General features: G+C 41.4%; 1 protein-coding gene across 4 annotated transcripts in view; it reads right to left on the bottom strand.

The window, feature by feature from the left end:
* ZFYVE9 (zinc finger FYVE-type containing 9) overlaps nucleotides 1-23048 on the bottom strand; it is a 204546-nt gene that overhangs the window by 13196 nt on the left and 168302 nt on the right. For all 4 annotated transcript variants that reach the window (NM_004799.4, NM_007324.5, XM_047434674.1 and 1 more), the window contains one exon: nucleotides 521-671. In NM_004799.4, coding sequence (NP_004790.2) covers nucleotides 521-671 — 151 coding nt within the window. The remainder of the gene's footprint in view (nucleotides 1-520; nucleotides 672-23048) is intronic.

Here is a 23048-nt window from a genome sequence, read left to right as displayed (position 1 = left end):
GTCAAGTTAATTAGCATTCTGTGGGAATGGTCATCCAACAAGCTTCAAATTTACCTAAACATACTCTCATTATGGGGCCTAGTCGTGCCTTCAAATGCCAGAGCTGGCCCTTGTCAATATCCTAAGGGCATATTTTTTTTTTTTTTTTTAATTATTATACTTTAAGTTCTAGGGTACATGTGCACAACATGCAGGTTTGTTACATACGTATACACATGCCATGTTAGTTTTGCTGCACCCATCAACTCGTCATTTACATTAGGTATTTCTCCTAATGCTATCCCTCCCTCCTAAGGGCATATTTTCAAAATTGTTCCCTCAATAACACATATCCCATTTGCAACTCTGAGTCTGGCCACTTGGGGAGTCAACATAATCCTGAAGAATATGGTTGGAAAGGTTAATTAATTTGTTTGTGGTCACCTATCTAGAAAGTGAGTGTTACGGGACTGAGGTATCTAACTGTCCAAGTCCAGTATAATTTTCCATTATCATAATCTCAACCAGCTCAAATGCTCACCTTTTCTGGGCTGATTGTGAATACTGATAGCCTGGGTCTGATAGTTTCCATCATCATTCTGTACACACACAAGATGAGAGTCTGCCTTTTCATTGAAGCAGGCACCTCCTGCCAGGACATGCTCATTGGACTTGTTCATGGCTTTCATCATCTGCAATCAAAGAGATAACCTTATTCTGACAAGAATGGGCATTTTTCTGTCTGACATGGTGCAACTCCATCTTCTCAAAAACAAAACTAACAGAATATTACGTATTAAAGTGACAAAAAGGGCCACCAAATAATGAAACAAAGTAAAAAAATGTCACCATTAACAAATCAATGTACACAAAAATTCCCTGTACATTTTATAAGCCATTTGTACTATGACCTAATAAGCACATGATACATTTTGCATTCACTTTTTGTCTTATTGCTGATTGAACTCAAGTAGCTAAAATTAGTTTAGCTAATTGTAGTTTCTCCTATATACTGGATTCTCTGAGGATATATAATCTGAAATTCTAAGTTCAAAAGAATGTCCCATATTTAAGTACATCTGCTTTCTTTTTCAACTTCCAAAGGAGTGAACTTCCCTCTAAAAACATATGAAATTCAAATTGTTTCTTAATTTTACTAACTTATGTTTGAGATCTTCAATGAAATTAGTTACTAATATTTTGCTTTATTCTTCTCAAAAGATTTAACATGATAATTCTGACCTAATCCAAAAAAAAAAAAATTCATGGGCCACTGTTTTGCATGTAATATGTAAGAACTCACCTTGATGTTAAACTCCAACCCTTGGCTGAAACAGGTTAATGATCATTTGTTGTTATTTATTTCTATAAAGAGTTTGGGGCCAGGCACGGTGGCTCATGCCTATAATCCCAGCAATTTGGGAGGCCGAGGCAGGCGGATCACGAGGTCAGGAGATCGAGACCATCATGGTTAATACGGTGAAACCCCGTCTCTACTAAAAATAAAAAAAAATTTAGCTGGGCATGGTGGCAGATGCCTGTTGTCCCAGCTACTCAGGAGGCTGAGGCAGGCGAATGGCATGAACCCGGGAGGCGGAGCTTGCAGTGAGCCAAGATCGCACCACTGCACTCCAGCCTGAGGAAAGAGCAAGACTCTGTCTCAAAAAAAAATAAAAAAAAAAAAAAGAGTTTGACACCTTTTTTTTTTGAGACAGGGTCTCTCTCTGTTGCCCAAGCTGGAATGCAGTGGCTCGATCTTGGCTCACTGCAACCTCCGCCTCCTGGGTTCACGCCATTCTCCTGCCTCAGCCTCCCGAGTAGCTGGGACTACAAGTGCCTGCTACCACGCCCAGCTAATTTTTTTGTATTTTTATAGAGACAAGGTTTCACCGTGTTAGCCAGGATGGTCTCGATCTCCTGACCTCGTGATCCGCCCACCTCAGCCTCCCAAAGTGCTGGGATTACAGGTGTGAGCCACTGCACCCGGCCGACACTTTTTTTTTTTTTTTAAGAGACAGGGATCTCACTATGTTGTCCAGGCTGGATTCAAGCTCCTTGGCTCAGGTGATCCTCCCACCTCAGCCTCTTGAATGGCTGGGATTATATAGGCACATGCCACCTAGCCCAGCTCTGGGTTAATGATAATTTGTTTTTATTTCCCATTTTTTCCTTCATGTCATCCCATTTGTCCAACTTTCTGATCTAATCCTTTAAAATTGAGCCTTTAAACATCTAACTGGAAACTTATTTTGTTTTACTCCCCTCTTCCTCCTATAAGCTGTAGTGTTGCAGGCCAGGCCCGGTGGCTCACACCTGTAATCCCAGCACTTTAGGAGGCCGAGGTGGGTGAACCACTTGAGGTCAGGAGTTCGAGACCAGCCTGGCCAACATGGTAAAACCCCATCTCTACTAAAAGTACAAAAAAATGAGCTGGGTGTGGTGGCGGGTGCCTGTAATTCCAGCTACTTGGGAGGCTGAGGCAGGAGAATCACTTTACCCCAACAGGTGGAGGCTGCAGTGAGCCAAGATTGCGCTACTACACTCCAGCCTGGGGAACACAGGGAGACTATCTCAAAAAATAAAAATAAAATAAAAAAGTTGTAGTGCTGTCAGAGTTGTTTGACTCCATCTTGAACAGGGGCTGGGTAAAATGAGGCTGAAACCTGCTGGGCTGCATCCCAGGAGGTTGGGCATTCTTAGGATAGGAGGAAAGCACAAGATACAGGTCACAAAGACCCCACTGATAAAAACAGAATGCTGTAAAGAAGCTAGCCAAAACCCACCAAAACCAAGATGGTGATGAAAGTGACCACTGGAGGTCCTCACTGCTCATTATCACTAATTATAATGCATTAGCATGCTAAATGACGCTCCCACCCATGCATGACAGTTTTACAAATGCCATGGCAATGTCAGGAAGTTACCCTATATGATCTAAAAAGGAAGGAACCCTCAGTTCCAGGAATTCCCCACCCCTTTCCCAGAAAACCCTTTGTTTAGCATATAATCAGGAAATACCGTAACTATACTCAGTCAGGCAGCCCATGACACTGCTCTGCCTATGGAGCAGCCATTCTTTTTTTGAGATGGAGTTTCGCTCTTGTTGCCCAGGCTGGAGTGCAGTGACACTATCTCAGCTCACCGCAACCTCCAGCTCCCAGGTTCAAGTGATTCTCCTGCCTCAGCCTCCCGAGTAGCTGAGATTACTGGCATGTGCCAGCACACCCACTAATTTTGTATTTTTAGTAGAAATGGGGTTTCTCCATGTTCGTCAGGCTGGTCTCGAACTCCCGACCTCAAGTGGTCCGCCCACCTTGGCTTCCAAAGTGCTGGGATTATAGGCGTGAGCCATCGCACCTGGCCTGCCCATTTTTTAACTGGGTTGTCTTTTTTTTAGAGACTATGGTGCTATGTTATGTTATGTTATGTTATGTTATCCAGGTTGACACTGATCCTCCCACCTTATCCTTCCAAGTAGCTGGAACTACAGGCACATACCCACTTTGCCTTGCTGTCTTTGCTGTTGACACGGAAGAATTTTTTTTTGTTTTGTTTTTGAGACAGTCTCGCTCTGTCACCCAGGCTGGAGTGCAGTGGCGCGATCTAGGCTCACTGCAAGCTCCACCTCCCAGGTTCACGCCATTCTCCTGCCTCAGCCTCCCGAGTAGCTGGGATTACAGGTGCTGGCCACCATGCCCGGCTAATTTTTTGTATTTTTAGTAGAGACGGGATTTCACCGTATTAACCATGATGGTCTCGATCTCCTGACCTCATGATCCGCCAGCCTTGGCCTCCCAAAGTGCTGGGATTATAGGCATGTGCCACCGCGCCCGGCCGATATGTAAGAATTCTTAAGACCCTTATGAGAGATATGATCTGAAAATATTTTCTCCCATTTTATAGGTTGTCTTTTCATTTTCTTGCTAATGTCCTTGGATGCACAAAATTTCTAATTTTTATTAAATCCAATTCATCTATTTTTTTTCTTTTGTTGCTTGTGCTTTTGGGGTCATATCTAAGAATCCAATGCCAAATCCAAGGTCACGAAAGATTACTGTTTTCGTCTAATAGCTTTATGGTTTTAGCTCTTATATTTAGTTTGTTGGTTGATTGTTTTGAGTCAGTTTTTATATATAATGTGAGGTAAGGGTAAGTTTTAAAATTGAGAAGTATAAATCCACCAATTTTGTTCTTCTTTTTTCAAGAACATCCACGAAGGGCTATTAAGGGCCCCTTGCAATTACAGATGATTTGAATATTGGCTTTTCCATTGCTGCAAAAAGGCCATTGAAATTTTGATACGGCTTGCAATGAATCATTTGTAGATCACTTTTAATATTGACATCTTAACAATATTAAGTCTTCTAATCCATGGAACATCTTTCCATTTACACAGGTCTTTAATTACTTTCAGCAACGTTTTGTAGTTCTCAGGGTACAAGTCTTTTACTTCCTTGGTTAAATTTACTCCTAGGTATTGTATCCATACAACTCTAAGGCATCATCATCATCTCTTGGCTTTACTTTATTATAACTCTTCCAAAGCACCAGAGGTATCCAAACTATAATTGAATACTCCTCTTACACTGATATTTATCAACCTCACTAATCCAAACCACTTCTACCCAGGTTTTCCAAAGGTTACTTTGAAATAATTCTTCTGTAAATAGGATGAGTCAGCTAGAAGATTTCTGCTTAGCAAAGCCAACTGACAGACACATTTAGGTTCTCATTTGCAATTTACATTTGTATCACATGAAAGAAACTGAGATGATCACAATTTTAAAGAAATCATTTCTTCCGAATCATTAGGCTAAAGTGGTTTCTAATTTTGTCTACACTAAGCAGACTAAGAAACATTTTCAATCCAGACATTCTGAATAAATTAGCTGGCCTCAAAGGAAATCATTTCCTTGGATGTAAATTACAAGTCCAATGAAAGAAACTTCATATTTCTTTAGAGATAAATGAATATATTTTCTCTTAAGATAATGCTCAGTTACAACAAGAGCAGAGTTTTCAAGAGATTCAAAGGACCTTACTGACCATAAAACAAACTTACACTAGTCATATAATGATATAAATATTTGACTATCCATTTTGGTTGTGTTATTCTGCTGTCAATTCAAATTCTGTAATGTTCTTGTATCTATACCTATTTTCACCATAGTTCAAGGCCTAATTGCCTCTTTTCTGGACATAATGACCTTGTAACTGGTTTTCCTACAGTGAATCTCTATCAGTTCTGATTCATCACATACAATGTTTTCGTACTTATCAAAGCACAGCTCTATGTCACATCTTCTCCAGCTTGTCCTCCATTCAGAATCTCAAGCTTCCTATGCTCTAACCCCAAATCTTGCCTCCCTCCTACAGTATCCTTACATGCTGCTTACATGTAGGACTACTTCCTGATGGCCTACCATTTCCCATCCCTGAGGCTTTGCATTACTATTTTCTTTTTGGGTTTTTTTTTTTTTCTTTTTGAGACAGAGTCTTGCTCTGTTGGCCAGGCTGGAGTGCAGTGGTGTGGTCCTGGCTCACTGCGGCCTCTGCCTCCTGAGTTCACGCGATTCTCCTTCCTCAGCATCCCAAGTAGCTGGGACTGCAGGCGCCCGCCACCACCCGGGCTAATTCTTTGTATTTTTAGTAGAGACGGAGTTTGACCATCTTGGCCAGGCTGGTCTCAAACTCCTGAGCTTAAGTGACCCACCCACCTCGGCCTCCCAAAGTGATGGGATCACATGCGTGAGCCATCGCGCCCGGCCTACCTTCCCTTTTCTTCTCCCATGGCCAAGCACCTGAAAAAGTAGTCCCCTGAAAATGCCAATTTCAGCATGAAGACTTTTTTTTTTTCTGAGACAAGTCTCCCTCTGTCGCTCAGGCTGGAGTGCAGTGGCACCATCTCGGCTCACTGCAACCTCTTGCCTCCCGGATTCAAGCAATTCTTCTGCCTCAGCCTCCCGAGTAGCTGGGACTTCAGGCACACGCCACCACGCCCCACTAATTTTTGTATTTTTAATACAGATGGGGTTTCACCATATTGGCCAAGCTGGTTTCGAACTCCTGACCTTGTGATCTGCCCGACTCAGCCTCCCAAAGTGCTAGGATTACAGGTGTGAGCCACCGCGCCTGGCCAGCATGAAGACTTCTTTAACCCCCAGTGAGACATTAATGTGACCATTACCTTCTTTGAAATGCCATAGCACATTCTCTGTACTTTTTATATGCCATCATTCACATTCAACCTTGAATAATGCTTAATTGCAAGACCAACAGTATTTTTGTTTGTTTATTTTTGAGACAGAGTCTCACTCTGTCACCAGGCTGGAGTGTAGTGGTGCAATCTCGGCTCACTGCAAACTTCGCCTCCTGGGTTCAAGCGATTCTCCTACCTCAGCCTCCCGAGTAGCTGGGACTACAGGTGCATGCCACCATGCCCAGCTAATTTTTGTATTTTTAGTAGAGATGGGGTTTCACCATGTTAGCCAGGATGGTCTCTATCTCCTGACCTGGTGATCCACCCACCTCAGCCTCCCAAAGTGCTGGGTTACAGGCATGAGCCACTGTGCCCGGCCTTGTTTGTTTTTGAGATGGAGTTTCACTCTTGTTGCCCAGGCTGGAGTGCAATGGTGCAGTCTTGGCTCATTGCAGCCTCCACGTCCTGGGTTCAAGTGATTCTCCTGCCTCAGCCTCTCAAGTAGCTGGGATTACAGGCACAGGCATGTGCCACCATGTCCAGCTATTTTTTTTTTTTTTTTTTTTTGGTATTGAGTAGAGACAGGGTTTCACCATGTTGGTCAAGCTGGTCTTGAACTCCTGACCTTAGGTGATCCACCCACCTTGACCTCCCAAAGTGCTGGGATTACAGGCATGATCCACCATGCCTGGCCTTCGACCAACAGTATCTGAATACTGGCCTTGCTCGTAACTATCTGTGTGTCTTTGGTAAACTTACTTAACCTCTCTGTGTCCCAGGACCCTCTTCTATAAAATGTGATAATAAAAGTAACTATTTCATAGAGTTATGAGAGTTAGATAAATTAATATTTACAAAGTGCTTAGGACAGCATCAAACATATAATAAGTACTCTTTTAACAAACAATTTGTTAAATAAAATTTGTATGCTCATCTTCCCTACCCTGCCTACTGAACCTTACAGCAACCTTAAAATCAGCAGCAAATAATTCAACCAGGTAGCTCCTATACCTCTTATAAGATAATGAAATTAAAGACCTTTCCTAAAAGTTTACAAATTATTGAGAATGACATACCAGTAAAAGGCAGAGAAACAACTGCTGTAACAACAGAATGTGCAAAGTACGTAACATTTCCAGAGCACCAACCATGAACCAGGCACTGAGCAAGCTGAGCTAAATGCTACAGGAGCATTATCTCATAAGAACCATTTTAGCACATCAAGTGAAACAGCACGAGCTTTACCTCCCGGTGTTTCCCACCCTTGGAGTCCCGGAAAAATCACAGGAGCCAATTAAAAGAACACAGTTCTATGAATGATTATGCTGCAGAAGTGTGTGAAGAGTTATAACACCTAATCCATCTTTCAGTTAACACATCATGTACTTCCAATTTCCTCTCTGAGATCTCATGTTTAAAAAATGACTAGCCTTTCGATTTGAACTGGAAAGGATTTATAGAGGAGTTTAAGCAGAGTGTTGAGGAGTGGATACAATTTGTATATGTGTTAGGCTTAGCATAGGGCCTTTGTCATGGCAGGCACTCCATAAATACTTGCTGAATATACTAGTTAGTAAACCGAATAAGTAGGAATAGATTTGGATGGCTTGTAATAGTCATAAAACTATACTGAGAGTTAATGTGGTTAGCACGATTTTCTTTTAAATCTTGATTCACTTGTAATTAGTGTCACATAGATTGGGTATCTAATAAAATAAGTTTCTGTTTTTGTTTTTATTTCTTGAGACAGTCTCGCCTTCTCGTTCAGGCTGGGGTGCAGTGGCATGATCACTGCTCACTGCAGCCTTGACCTCTGGGGCTCAGGTGACCCTCCCACCTCAACCTCCCAAGAAGTTGGGACTACAGGTATGTGCCACCACACCTGGCTAATTCTTTTATTTTTTATGTATTTATTTATTTATTTAATTTTTTAGAGATGGAGTCTCGCTCTGTCGCCCAGGCTAGAGTGCAGTGGTGCAGTCTCGGCTCACTGCAAGCTCTGCCTCCCACGTTCACACCATTCTCCTGCCTCAGCCTCACTGCAAGCTCTGCCTCCCGGGTTCACACCATTCTCCTGCCTCAGCCTCCCGAGTAGCTGGGACTACAGGGGCCCACCACCACATCCAGCTAATTTTTTGTATTTTTAGTAGAGATAGGGTTTCACCATGTTAGCCAGGATGGTCTTGATCTCCTGACCTCATGATCCGCCCGCCTCAGCCTCCCAAAGTGTTGGGATTACAGGCGTGAGCCACCACGCCCAGCCTAATTCTTTTATTTTTAATTTTGTATGGATGGGGTCTTTCTTACTATGTTGCCAAGGCTGGTTTCAAATCTTGGGGCTAAAGTGATCCTCCCTCCTCAGCCTCCCAAAGTGCTGGAACGACAGGCGTGAGCCACTGTACCCGGCCAAATAAAATAAGTTTTAGTGATTCAGTTCTACAAACATTATCAAGTGATTAACAAAGGCTTTAGACAGGAAGATCCAGTACAAAGGTGTGAAAAATCTATGAAAAGTGAACAACTACAAGGATACAGGGAAGCATGAAAGACTTACTCTCTGCCCTCAAGAGGCTCACAATTCAGAGGACAGGATTCACACCCATCATCCTGTGCATGTTACAGAAATAAAGAACAACAGGAAAATGGAGGAGAAAAACAGTGACACTGTCTAGGGGATGGAGAATTCTAGGGAGGTTTGCTAAAGGCTATCAGGTATATAAAAAGAATATTTTGGACAGAGGAAACAGCATAAGTGAGGAACAGAACTAGAAGTGAGAAAGAAACACTGAGCTGAAGAACGATGGAAAAGGTGGAAGAATATACTTTCTTGGAGTAATTTTAAGAAAAATGTAAATACGTACCCTTCCAGTTAGCTGAAATTCACTAGTGTCCAGAGGCTAGACCCCATCTTCAAGTCCTATGAATCTACATATTGACAACTATGAGTCTTCATTCAATCTGTTTTGTTTTGTTTTTGTTTTTGTTTTTGTGTGTGTGTGTGTGTGTGTTTTTGAGACAGGGTCTTGTTCTGTTGCCCCGGCTGGAGTGCAGTGGCATAATCATAGCTTACTGCAGTCTCCAACTCTTGGGCTCAAGTGAGCCTCCCACCTCAGCCTCCCAGGTACACAGACTATAGCTATGTACCACTATGCCCAGCTATCTTTATTTTCATTTGTTTTTTTGTGGTTATTTTTTTTTTTTGAGACTGAGTCTTGCTCTTGTTGCCCAGGCTGGAGTGCAATGGCACAATCTCAGTTCACTGCAATCTCCGCCAACCAGGTACAAGCAATTCTCCTGTCTCAGCCTCTCAAGTAGCTCAAATTACAGGCATGCGCCATCACGCCTGGCTTTTTTTTTTTTTTTTTGTATTTAGTAGAGACGGGGTTTCACCACGTTAGTCAGGGTGGTTGTGAACTCCGGACCTCAGGAGTGATTCTCCTGCCTCAGCCTCCCGAATAGCTGGGATTATAGGCATGTGCTGCCATGCCCGCCTAATTTTTGTTATTTTTTGGTAGAGATGGGTTTCACCATGATAGCCAGGCTGCTCTCAAACACCTGACCTGAAGTGACCCTCCCTCCTTGGCCTCCCAATGTGCTGGGATTACAGGCATGAGGCAAAGTGCCTGGCCCTCTGGCCTACTTTTATTTTGTAGAGCTGAGGTCTCACGCTATGTGCCCAGGCTGCCTTCACTCATTCATTTAGAAAATACTTATTCATTTAGCCAATGGGCATTGAGTATCTAATACGTGCCAGACACTGTTTTAGTGCTTGCTTTATTCAGTAGTAGACAAGCAAACAAATTCCTGCCCTCACAGAGCTTATATTCTTGTGTGTAGGAGGAGGAGACAAAAACAATAAACAAATAAGTAAAATACATAAAACTATTATACAATGACAAGTGCTACAGAGAAAAATAAAACATGGAAGGAGGACTGGGAGTATTGGTGGGTACAATTTTAAATAGGAGAGTCAGAGGATGTCTTACTGAAAAAAGTGAGGGAAAAGCCAAAGGCTTTTATCCCACTGCATGGGGATACGTGCAAGGCCCTGGAGGGCAGTAAGGTAGCATGCCCTGGAATTTCAAGGAACACTGAGGACAGTGTGGCCAGAGCTGAGTGACAGAAAAGGAATAGTTATAAAAAATGAGGTCACAGAGGGCCGGGCGTGGTGGCTCACACCTGTAGTCCCAGCACTTTGGGAGGCCAAGATGGGCGGATCACGAGGTCAGGAGATCAAGACCATCCTGGCTAACACGGTGAAACCCTGTCTCTACTAAAAATACAAAAAATTAGCTGGGCGCGGTGGCAGGCGCCTATAGTCCCAGCTACTCAGGAGGCTGAGGCAGGAGAATGGCGTGAACCTGGGAGGCAGAGTTTGCAGTGAGCTGAGATCGCGCCACTGCACTCCAGCCTGGGCGATAGAGCGAGACTCTGTCTCCAAAAAAGAAAAAAAGAGATCACAGAGATAATGAGTCGAGAAATACAAATGGTGTAGAGGACTTGTGTCATTCTGATTGGGATGAAAAATCTGTGGAAGGTTTTAAGCAGAGGAGTGATATGATATGACTTAGTTTTGAAAGGACCAGGCTGGGCATGGTGGCTCACTCCTGTAATCCCAATACTTTGGGAGGCCAAGGCGGGCAGGTCACAAGGTCAGGAGTTCGAGACCAGCCTGGCCAATATAGTGAAACCCCGTCTCTACTAAAAACACAAAAATTAGCCGGGCATGGTGGTGCACACCTGTAGTCCCAGCTACTCGGGAGGCTGAGGAAGAAGAATCGCTTGAACCCGGGAGGCGGAAGTTGCAGTGAGCCGAGATCGCGCCATTGCACTCCACTGGGCGACACAGCGAGACTCTGTCTCAAAAAAAAAAAAAAAAAAAAGAAAAGACCACTTAGGCTGCTACATTAAAAACAGACTGACAAGGGTACTAATAGGAAGACCAGTTAGGAGGCCACTGCAGAAATCTAGGTCAGAGACCAGACTGGTCCCAGGATTGAGAGGCAGCTGGATTATAGATATATTTAGAAAGTAGAGGCAGCAGAATTTCCTGATAGATTTGTCTATCAAGGAATGAGGAAAAGAAGATTCAAAGATGACTCTAAAGTTTTGGGCTTGGGTAACTGGAAAGATGACAGCACTGTCATTAATTTAGATGGAGAAGCCTGTAAGATGACCATGTCAAAGGTGAACTTGCTAAGCTTGAAATGTGTATGCAAGTGGAGATGTCAAGTGGGCAATAAGACAGTCAAGTCTACAAAACAGCAGAGAGATTTAGGCTAAAACAAACATTTGGAAGATGTCAGCTTAGAAATAGTATTTAAGCCCATAGAACTGGATAAGATTACCAAGGAAATGTATAGAGGCAAATAAGACTTACAAGAACTAATATCTTGGGTTTTCCAAAATGAATACGAAATGGGGTCAGAAAGGAGGGTGTACAGAGATAGAAATTAAATTACGATAAATGAGGGATGCCCTAGGAGTCCAGAACTTCTTGTGGTGCTTGACATAAACACAATGAGATTAGAGCTGATGGTCTCAAGGACAAATATGGCAGCGAGGTTGTGAGTTCTGGGAGACAGGGAAAGCCAGGAGTTTGACTAGAAGTCCAGTGTAGTAGAACCACTCCTGTCAATGGGCATGTACACAAGAGAGAAGACAGTACTATCCTGGGCATGTGGGGTTCAGCAGTGGCCTCCTCTTGCAGTCAGTGGAGGTACAGTATCATGGGCTTCTTCTTGAGGATTCTTTTATTTGAACATATCTATTGTTAAATACTGTCTTTTATGTATAAACTAGGAAAAGCTATACCAATAATCAATGGAACATCATCTCTCTCCTCTGCACTATTCTCCAGAGGACCTTTGACCAACTCCTTTCATTCCTTTAAGAAGAGGACTATCAGCTCCTAATTCCCTAAAAGAAATGTATTCCTTGAAGGCCAGAGAATCAAACATTCCTCAAACAGATTTTAGCGCCATCTGTTCTCGCCAGTGCTACAAAGAACCTATGAAATTATGCTTTTGTAATTTCACACTTCTCTGAAGAATATGTGTAGTTTCAAATTAAAATAAACCAAAACTCCTATTTTAGAAGCTTAAGAGTGGGAAAGAATCTCAAGAGGCCATTCAGCCTATTTTTCAGCCTGTCCTATACAAGATGGAGAATTGTACAAATACATGATTTCACAGATTCTTGTATCACAACCAACATAAACTTCTCTATTCCTATCTTTTTGGTGTTGAGTAAAGAGTTAACAAAACCTTGTTCCTTTTTGTGTGAGACTTCGATAGGTTAACTCTTTGGCTATATCACTGCAGTGACCTGATCAAAGTTTGAACGTCTATTACATTACCAGAAAAAAAAAATGATGTATTTTCTTTTACAGTTATATTTAAAATAACTGATGAATTACACATATTTAAAGTGTACAATTTGATGAATTTTGACATGTGCATATACTCATAAAAAGGCACTTGCAATCACCCCCCAAAATTTCCTTGAGCCCCTTTGTAATATATGGTTCCCTCACCCTCCTTCAAGCCAAAGGTCACTAAGATTTTTATCTTATGTCTTCTTTCAGAAGTTTTAGTTTTAACTCTGTATAAATCTATGAACCATTTCCAATTAATTTTTGTACATGGTATGAGGTAAAGGTTGAGGTTCATCTTCTTTTTCAAACAACTGGCTATACAATTATAAAGACCATTTTTGTTCAAAAGATTATCCTTTTGCTAATGAACTGCCTTGGCATCTTTACGGAAAAGCTATTGAGCATCTGTAAGCATCTATGTTTTGACTCTCTGTTCTGTTCCATTGGTCTATTCATATATATTTACACCCAAACAATACTGCTTTGATCACTCTACTTTTAAAATACATCTTAACAGCCGGGCACGGTGGCTAATGCCTGTAATCCCAGCACATTGGGAGGCCGAGGTAGGTGGATCACCTGAGGTCAGGAGTTCGAGACCAGCCTGGCCAACATGGAGAAACCCCGTCTCTACTAAAAATACAAAATTAGCTGGGCGTGGTGGCATGTGCCTGTAATCCCAGGTACTCGGGAGGATGAGGCAGGAGAATCACTTGAACCCAGGATGCGGAGGTTGCAGTGAGCTGAGATTGCACCATTGCACTCCAGCCTGGGCAACAAGAGCGAACCTCTGTCAAAAAAAATAAAGGTCTTAACATCATCTAAGAAGTCCTGGAATTATTTTCTTTTTCTCTTTTTTTTTTTTTTTTGAGACAGAATCTCCCCCTCTCTGTCACCAGGCTGGAGTGCAATGGCGCAATCTCAGCTCACTGCAACCTCTGCCTCCCGGGTTCAAGAGATTCTCCTGCCTCAGCCTCCCAAGTAGCTGAGATTACAGGCACACATTACCACGCCCAGCTTATTTTTGTATTTTTAGTAGAGATGGGATTTCACCATGTTGGCCAGGATGGTCTCGATCTCCTGACCTCGTGATCTGCCCACCTTGGCCTCCCCAAGTGCTGGGATTACAGGCCTGAGCCACTGCGCCTGGCTATTATGTTCTTTTTCAAAGTTGTTTTGGCTCTTCTAGGTTCTTTTTATCCCCATATAAATTTCAGGATCAGTACCTCAATTTTTATTTGTTTTTATTTTATTTTTTTTTTGAGATGGAGTTTTGCTCGTTACCCAGGCTGGAGTACAATGGTGCGATCTCGGCTCACTGTAACCTCCACCTCCCGTGTTCAAGTGATTCTCCTGCCTCAACCTCCTGAGTAGCTGGGATTATAGGTATGCGCCACCACGCCCAGCTAATTTTGTGTTTTTAGTAGAGATGGGGTTTCACCATGTTGGTCAGGCTGGTCTCAAACTCCTGACCTCATGTGATCCGCCCACATCGGGCTCCCAAAGTGTTAGGATTACAGGTGTGAGCCACTGTGCCCAGCCAATTTTTATTTATAAAAAAGCCTACTCGTATTTTGATTGGGATTGTGTTGAAGCTACAGATCAATTTGGGGACTACTGCAATCTTAACAGTACTGAGTCTACCAATCCATAAATATTATATATCTCTACTTAGGTCTTTAAATTCTCGTAACAATATTTTGTAGTTTTCAGTGTATAAGTATTACAGATCATTTAAGAAATTTATCCCAAATTATGTCATATTTTTGATGTTGTGGTTTTTTCTTTGAGACAGGGTCACACTCTGTCACCCAGAGTGAAGTGCAGTGACACAATCTCAGCTCACTGCAACCTCTGCCTCCTAGGCTCAAGTGATCCTCCCACCTCAGCCTCTTGAGTAGCTGGAACTACAGGCATGTGCCATGACACCTGGCTAATTTTTGTATTTTTTGTACAGACAGGTTCTCACCGTGTTGCCCAGGCTGGTCTAGAACTCCTGGGCTCAAGCAATCAGCTCACCTTGTCCTCCAAAGTGTTGGAATTACAGGTGTGAGCCACCACACCTGGCCTACTGTATCGTTATTAAATTTCTATATTCAATTGTTCATTGCTAGTATACCAAAATACTACTGATTTTTATACAATAATCTCACGACTTTGCTAACTTCACTTAGTAGATCTAGTGGCCATTTTGTAGACTCCATAAGGATTTGCTACATAGACAGCCATGTTATCCATGAATACCGACAGTCTTTTTTTATATATATAATTTTATGACTCTTATTTTTTTTCCCCTTATTACATGGGCTAGAAGCTCCATTACAATGCTCAATAAAAACAGGAGTGAACATCCCGTTCTTGTTTCCAATCTTAAAGGGGAAGCACTCAGTCTGTTACCATTAGAGATGTTATAGATTTTTCATAGATAATCATTAGCTTGTGAAAGTTCTCTTCTTAGATTGCCAAGATACACACACACACACACACACACACACACACACACACACACACACATACAATCATGCTCTCTCTAATCTTGAATGGAAGTAGGATTTCGTCAACTGCTTTTGCTGTATCATATGGTTTTCCTTTTTCATCCTGTTAAAGGATCCTGTATCCTAAACTATGGAATGAGTTTTGAATGTTAAACCAACTTAGCATTCCTGAAATAAACCATGTTTAGTCATAATATACATTATTATTTTATGTATTGTTAGAGTGGATTTACTAAAAATTTGTTAACTATTTATGCAAATAACTTCATGAGAGGTATGATGTATAGTTTTCATTTTTTGTAATGTCTTTTTTTGGTTTTGTTATTAGTATAAGGCTGACCTCATAGAGTAAGATTCCTTCTCTTCTATTTTCTTGGTGTGTTTGCACAGAAATGGTGTTATTTCTTCCTTCATTGTTAAGTTACCAGTGAAACCATCTGAACTAGGACTTTTCTTTGTGAGAAGGTTTTAAACAATAAAGTCAATTCTTTTAATAAATACAGGGCTATTTAGGTTATCTATTTAATCTTGAGAGCTGTGAAAACTTACTGTTCAAATAATTTGCCTATTTTATCTAAGTTGAACGCACACTGACCAAAACATGTTCATACTGTCTATCGGACCTGTAATGATAGTTTCCCTCTTTTACATCCTAAAAAGGTAATTTGTGCTTTCCCTATCTAATCAGTCTAACTAGAGGTTTATCAATTTTATTGCTCTTCTCAAAGAACTGGCTTTTGGTTTCATTAATTTTCTTTATTGTTTTTGTCTTCTATTTTATGGATTGCTTATCTTTATTATTTCTTCTATTTTGTATTTCATTTACTCTTTGTTGTCTAATTACTTAAGGTAGACGAGTAGGTCATTGATTTGAGATGTCTTTTTTTCTTTCTTTTTTTTTTTTTTCTGAGACAGAGTCTTGCTCTGTCACCCAGGCTGGAGTGCAATGGCGTGATCTCGAGTTACCGCAACCTCCACCTCCTGGGATTACAGACACGCACCATCATGCCCGGATAATTTTTTTGTATTTTTAGTAGAGGTGGGGTTTCACCATGTTGGCCAGGTTGGTCTCAAACTCCTGACCTCAAGTGATCCCCCCAACCTCAACCTCCCAAAGTGCTGAGATTACAGGCATGAGCCACCGCACCTGGCCTTTTTTTCTAATACAAGGGTTTAATGCTATAAATTTATCTCTAATCATTGTTTTAGCTGTATCCCCAATTTTTATATCTCATGTTTTCATTTTCAAGCAGTTCAAAATATTTTATAATTTTCCTTTTGGTTTATTCTTTGACCCATGGATTATTGGGAAATGTACACTTTATTTCCAAATATTTGGGAATTTTCTAGAGATCTTTCTGGCATTGGTTTCTTATTTAAAGCTGTGTGGTCACAGACCACATTCTGTATGATTTGAATCATCTTACATTTATTGAGACCTCTTTTACACCACAGAAAATGGTCTATTTTGTAAATGTTCTGTGTGCACTGGAAATGAATGTGCATTCTGATGCTGTTGTGCGGAACATTTTATAAAAATCAATTAAGTAAAATTGGCTGTGTTCTTCAAGTTTTCCATAGTCCCGCTGATTTTCTATTTACTACTTCCTTCAATTAGTGACACAGGGTTATTGAAATCTCCAAATATTATTGTGGGTTTCTCCATTTAACCTTTTGTTTTACCAGTTCTCTCACTGTGCATTTTGAAGCTCTGTTATTTAGATACATGTTTTGAAATTGTTGTATCATTTTGATAAATTGATCCCTTTATAAATATGGTATGTATTTCTTTATCCCTGGTTGTAATATATGTTCTGAAATAACCTAGATATTAATATAGCCATTTCAGCTTTAATTAATATTACTATGCTATCTTTTCTACCCATTTAGTTTTTTTTTTTTTTTTGAGACCAGTCTCACTCTGTCGCCCAGGCTGGAGTGCAGTGGCGTGATCTCGGCTCAGTGCAACCTCCACCTCCCAGATTCAAGCAATTCTCCTGCCTCAGCCTCCCGAGTAGCTGGGATTACAGGCACCCACCACCAAAGCCCAGCTAATTTTTGTGTTTACTAGAGACGGGGTTTCACCATGTTGGCCAGGCTGGTCTCACACGCCTGACCTCAGGTGATGCACCCGCCTTGGCCTTCCAAAGTGTTGGGATTACAGGCATCAGCCACTGCACCCGGCTGTGGTTTCTTTTCTTTTTTTTTTTTTTTTTTTTTTTTTGAGATGGAGTTTCACTCTTGTTGCCCAGGCTGAAGTGCAATGGCAGGATCTCGGCTCACTGCAACCTCTGCCTTCTGGGTTCAGGTGATTCTCCTGCCTCAGCCTCCCGAGTAGGTGGGACTACAAGCATGCACCACCATGCCTGGCTAATTTTGTATTTTTAGTAGAGACGGGGTTTTGCCATGTTGGCCAGGCTGGTCTCGAACTCCTGACCTCAAGTGATCTGCCTGCCTCGGCCTCCCAAAGTGTTGGGATTACAGGCGTGAGCCATCACGCCCAGCCCCGGCCGTGTTTTTCTTATACGTATGTTTCTTACACAACATACAGATGAATCTTCCTTATTCAGTCTCACAATCTCTGCCTTTTACTTGAAGGTATTTAGATCATTTATATTTGAGTCATTTTTTTTAATATGGCTGGATTTAAATTTACTATCTTGCTATTTATTATTTGTCCCATCTCTTGTTATCTTTTTCAGCCTTCTTTTATGATTCCATTTTATTATTTTTGTTGATTAGATATACCTACCCATTTTGATTTTTTTAGTGGTTGCTTTTGGGTTTATATTACGTATCTTTAACTTATCAATAAACTTTTAAGTAAAATTATACCACATCACATGTCATATACTTCCATATCCTCTTCCCTGGCCTTTTTGTTACCGTTCTACATTTTTGTCTCTACATATGGTATAAATTCCGCAATACATTACTATTTAATATATGTTATTTTATTTTAGAGACAGGGTCTCATTCCATTGCCCAAGCTGGAGTGGAATGGTGTGATCATAGTTCACTGCAACCTCCAATCACTGGGCTCAAGCAATCCTCCTGCCTCAGCCTAGAGAGTAGCTAGGAATACTGGTATGTGCCACCATACCCAGCTAATTTTTGTATTTTTTGTAAAGATGGTGTCTCATTTTGTTGCCTAGCTGTCCTTGAACTCCTGGCTTCAAGCAATCCTCCCACCTCAGCCCCTCAAAGTGCAGGGATTACAGGCATGAGCCACTGCACCCGGCCAAACATTTAATTTGAAACAGTTAATTGTCTTTTAAAAAGATGTTATGTTTACCTATAAATTTATCATTTCTGTCACTTTTCATTCCTTTGTGTAGATCCAGATTTCCAATATTTGGTATTCTCCTTGATGGACTTTACATTTCTTGTGGAACAGGTCTGTTGGTGATAAATTATATGTATCCGAGAAAACGCTTTGCCTCAGTGGCACGATCTCAGCTCACTGCAACCTCTGCCGCCCAGATTTCAAGCAATTCTCGTGCCTCGGCCTCCTGAGTAGCTGGGACTACAGGCGCCCACCACCGCGCCTGGCGGTTTTTGCTTTTTTTTTTCTTTTTGAGACCGGGTCTCACTCTGTAGTCCAAGTTGGAGTGCAGTGGTGCAATCTCGGCTCACTGCAACCTTTGCCTCAAGTGATTCTCCTGCCTTAGCCTCCCAAGTAGCTGGGACTAGAGGCGCGCGCCACCACACCCGGTTAATTTTTTTCTATTTTTAGTAGAGACCAGGTTTCACCACGTTGCCCTAGGTGGTCTCGAACTCCTGAGCTCAGATGATCCACCCGCCTTGGCATCCCAAACTACTGGGATTACAGGCGTGAGCCACAGCACCTGGCGTACTTTTGTACTTTTAGTAGAGATGGGGCTTTCACCATGTTAGCCAGTTTGGTCTCGAACTCTTGGCCTCAAGTGATCCGCCCATCTTGGCCTTCCAAAGTGCTGGGATTATGGGTGTGAGTCACTGCGCCCAGCCTGCCTTCATTTTTAAAACGTATTTTTACTGGGTATAAAATATAGGATGACAGTTTTTCTTTTCAGCATTTTAAAGATTTTGCTGCACTGTCTTGCAACTTGCATTGTTTTCATGAGAAATATGCTGTCACTTTTGTATTTGCAAAATACCTAAGTATATAAGGAAGATTTCTTCCCTCAAGCTGCTTTTAAGGTTCTCTTTATGTGAATTTTTATACAATTTGATTATGATCATAACATTTCTTAATGTAGTTTTTATCCTGTTTCTTGCAATTGGGGTTCATTGAGCTTCTTGGATCTGTAAGTTTATAATTTTCATTAAATTTGGAAATTTTTTAACCATTGTTTCTTCAAATATTTTTTAGGTCCACCACCTTTTCTCTCCTTTGGGTACTTCAATTACAGAATTTGGCTGCCTGACATTCCACAACTCGATGACGTGCTGTTTATTTAATTTTTCAGCCTTTTCTCTGTGTTTCATTTTGGATCATTTCTGTTGTTATGTTTTCATGATCACGAGTTTTTTCTTCAGCATTGTCTAAACTGCATTTAATTTCATCCAACATACTTTTCATCCCGTTGCCACCTACATTTCTTAAAGCTTGATTTGGGTCTTTTTTATATCTTCCATAGCTCTCCTTAATGTGCCCATTCTTTCATCCTTTTCAAGCTTTCTTTAAAGCTTATTAGGTAGGATCAGAGCAGTTTGAATCTGTACATAATTTGAGTCATTAGACATAATGTGGCCCATGTAGTACAAGAACCTTTGTCACTCTGGCTGGTAAGAATACAAACTATTCCTGGCCCTGTGAGAATTGTTCTACCCATTTCTTTGCAGTGCTTTCCTCGTATAGACACACTGACTAGTAAGTAATCAGCTAAGACTCCAGAAATCTTTCCAGATCTCCTGAATTTTTAAAACACTTCTGGCAATCGGTCCTGCAAATTCTAACCATCGTAGGCTCTCTATATTTCTCAACTCTGTCTCCTCAAGTCAGGGAGACCTCTAAGTCAGTTTGGGTTTCCCCTACCCGCTCTATGGCCTGAAAACTACAGGCAGTAAGATAGGGTAAGCAGAAGACTCACCTTCTCTGCCCATTATCTTTTGTTTTTATCATACTTTGTCTTGATATTTAGTTGTTTAAGGTGGACTGGTGTGATAGCATGCTTGCACAGCTATATCAAAGTACAAGCTGGATGGCTTAAATAACAGAAATGCATTGTCTTACATTTCTGGAGGCTAGAAGTCCAAAATCAAGCCCAAAATCAACATCAGCAGAGATAGTTCCGTCTGAGGGCTGTGAAAGAAGGATCTGTTTCCAGGCCTCTATCCTTGGCTTGTAGTTGGCCATCTTCTCCCTATGTCTCTTCACATCATCTTCCCTATATGTGTGTCTGTTTCCATATTTCCCCTTCTTATAAGGACACCAGTCATATTGGATTTCGACCTGCTCTAATGACTTCATTTAAACTTGATTACCTTTGTAAAGACCCTCTCTCCAAATAAAGTCATATTCTGAGGTACTGGGAGGTTACAACTTCAATATATGAACTTTAGAGGGACACAATTCAATCCATACAATCAATCCTTACTATTCCAACATGGGCAAAAGTGAAAGATAATAAATTATATTTGAACAGGGAGAACCGTACACCCCTGATAGATAGCCATAACTTTGGTCTTACTTCAATAGTCACTCTTGTAGCAGAGCAAGTCCCCTAGAGACACCCTGGAATCTATGCCTATGAAGTTTTTCCAAGAGATATTGGTTGCTGTCAGGAATAAGACTTCTAAGCCAGGACAGCTCCTACACCTGCCTGATGTGAATCTTGTCATTTGAGCAGTTATCTGGGGCTGGAGGAAGGCCCAAAAAGATGCTCCCAATTAGCTACGTTAGATGCTACATGGGTTGTTGCAAAGACTGTCAAAGGTAACAAACGCCTGACACTGTACTACTATCAAGCTATGGTTCATGTTCCACATCCTTATGGGAACCCTAGGGTTAAGTATATCCTATAACCAAATAACCTCATGAGTCTCAAAGTGTAATAGAGCCTATGCATATTAATGGTGGATGCTGTGCTATTCCTTTATAGTCTTCTTTTCCTTATATTAAATACCTACAGTTAGATTCAATATATATTTTGTTAAATGATGTTTTGAGTCTTCGCCACTTCACCTTCTTATAGATTTACCCAGATGTCCTCTACATCCTAAGGGAATTTAGCTATATTGGGAAGTTAGATACATCCTACAAGCACATGAAAATGAGAAGTTTGTAACACAAGTTCAATAAGTTAACCAAATGAAGCCAGGTGTGGTGGCTCATGTCTGTAATCCCAGCTCTTTGGGAGGCTGATGTGGACAGATCACCTAAGGTCAGGAGTTCGAGACCAGCCTGGCCAACACAGCAAAACCCCGTCTCTACTAAAAATACAAAAATTAGCTGGGCATGGTGGCGTTTGCCTGTAATTTCAGCTACTCAGGAGGCTGAGGCAGGAGAACTGCTTGAGTCCAGGAAGCGAAAGTTGCACTGAGCCAAGATTGTACTATTGCACTCCAGCCTGGGCGATGGAGTGAGACTTCATCTAAAAAAAAAATAAATAAATAAAAATAAAAATTAACCATATGAACAATTAATCTGAATGATAAAAATGAACACAACAACAATAGCATACAATTTATGTACAATTATAGTATACCAGGCTAATACACAACACTAGTTATTTGACACGTGATTGAAATGTCACAAAACTTCACAATATGAGCATACCCATATTCCAGAAGAGAGATTAACCCACTAAGGTAATACAGCTAGTAATTAAACATCAATCCAGCTGGGAGTGGTGGCTCACGCCTATAATCCCAGCACTTTGGGAGGCTGAGGCGGACAGAACACCTAAGGTCAGGAGTTTGAGACCAGCCTGGCCAACATGGTGAAACCCTGTCTCTACCAAAAATACAAAAATTAGCTGGGCGTGGTGGTGCACGCTTGTAATCCCAGCTACTCAGGAGGCTGAAGCAGGAGAATCGCTTGAACCTAGGAGGTGAAGGTTGCAGTGAGCCAAGATCGTGCCACCACACTCCAGCCTGGGTGACAAGAGTGAAACTCCATCTCAAAAAAAAAAAAAAAAAAAATCAATCCAAGGTCTATTTGATTCTAACATCTCTTCTTCTTTCACTATGGCTCATCATTTTTCTGATCTTAAACAAACATATTAAATAACAGTCATTGCCAGACATGGTGGCTCATGCTTGTAATCTCAGCACTTTGAGGAGGCCAAGGCAGAAGAACTGCTTGAGCTCAAGAGTTCAAGACCAACCTGGGCAACGCAGTAAGACCTCATCTCTACAAAAAATTTAAAAATTAGCTGCGCACAGTGGTGCACACCTGTAGTCCCAGCTTCTTCAGGGGATGAAGTGGGGGAATCCCTTGATCCCAGGAGGCTACCAGTGAGCTACGATTACACCACTGCACTCCTGCCTGGGCAACACAGCAAGACCCTGTCTCAAAAAAGAAAACAATGACAACAACAACAAAAAACTAGTCACATATTAGGAAATGCCCCAGAGGTAATTTTAGTTCTACCGTTCCATGAGACTTCAGTATTTAAGTGCATGTACTAGCTATGCCAGTGATCTGGTTACATACAAAATGTAAATAGAACCACATACAATCACTTTAACTCATCAGCCCTAAAACTAAATTGGTAATTATTTAAACTAAAGTCTACAGTGCAGTGGTTAAGAGTAGGGACACCAGAATCAGAAAGCCCAGGTTTGATGGCAGCTCCACCACTTGCTAGCTGTACGATCATGGGCAAGTTACTTAAGTTCTATGTGTCTTTTTTTGCTTTTTTAAGAGATGGGGTCTTGCTATGTTGCCTAGGCTGGCCTCCACCTCCTGGGTTCAAGTGATCCTCCCACCTCAGCCTGTACCTAGGACTATACACATTCACTATGGCACCCAGCTAAGTTCTCTGTATCTTAATTTCCTCATCTGTAAAAA

This window comes from Homo sapiens, chromosome 1, assembly GCF_000001405.40.
Source record: "Homo sapiens chromosome 1, GRCh38.p14 Primary Assembly".
Taxonomy (NCBI): Eukaryota; Metazoa; Chordata; class Mammalia; order Primates; family Hominidae; genus Homo; species Homo sapiens.
The sequence above is the reverse complement of the archived record's forward strand: the minus strand, read 5'-3'. Positions and strand labels throughout refer to the sequence as shown.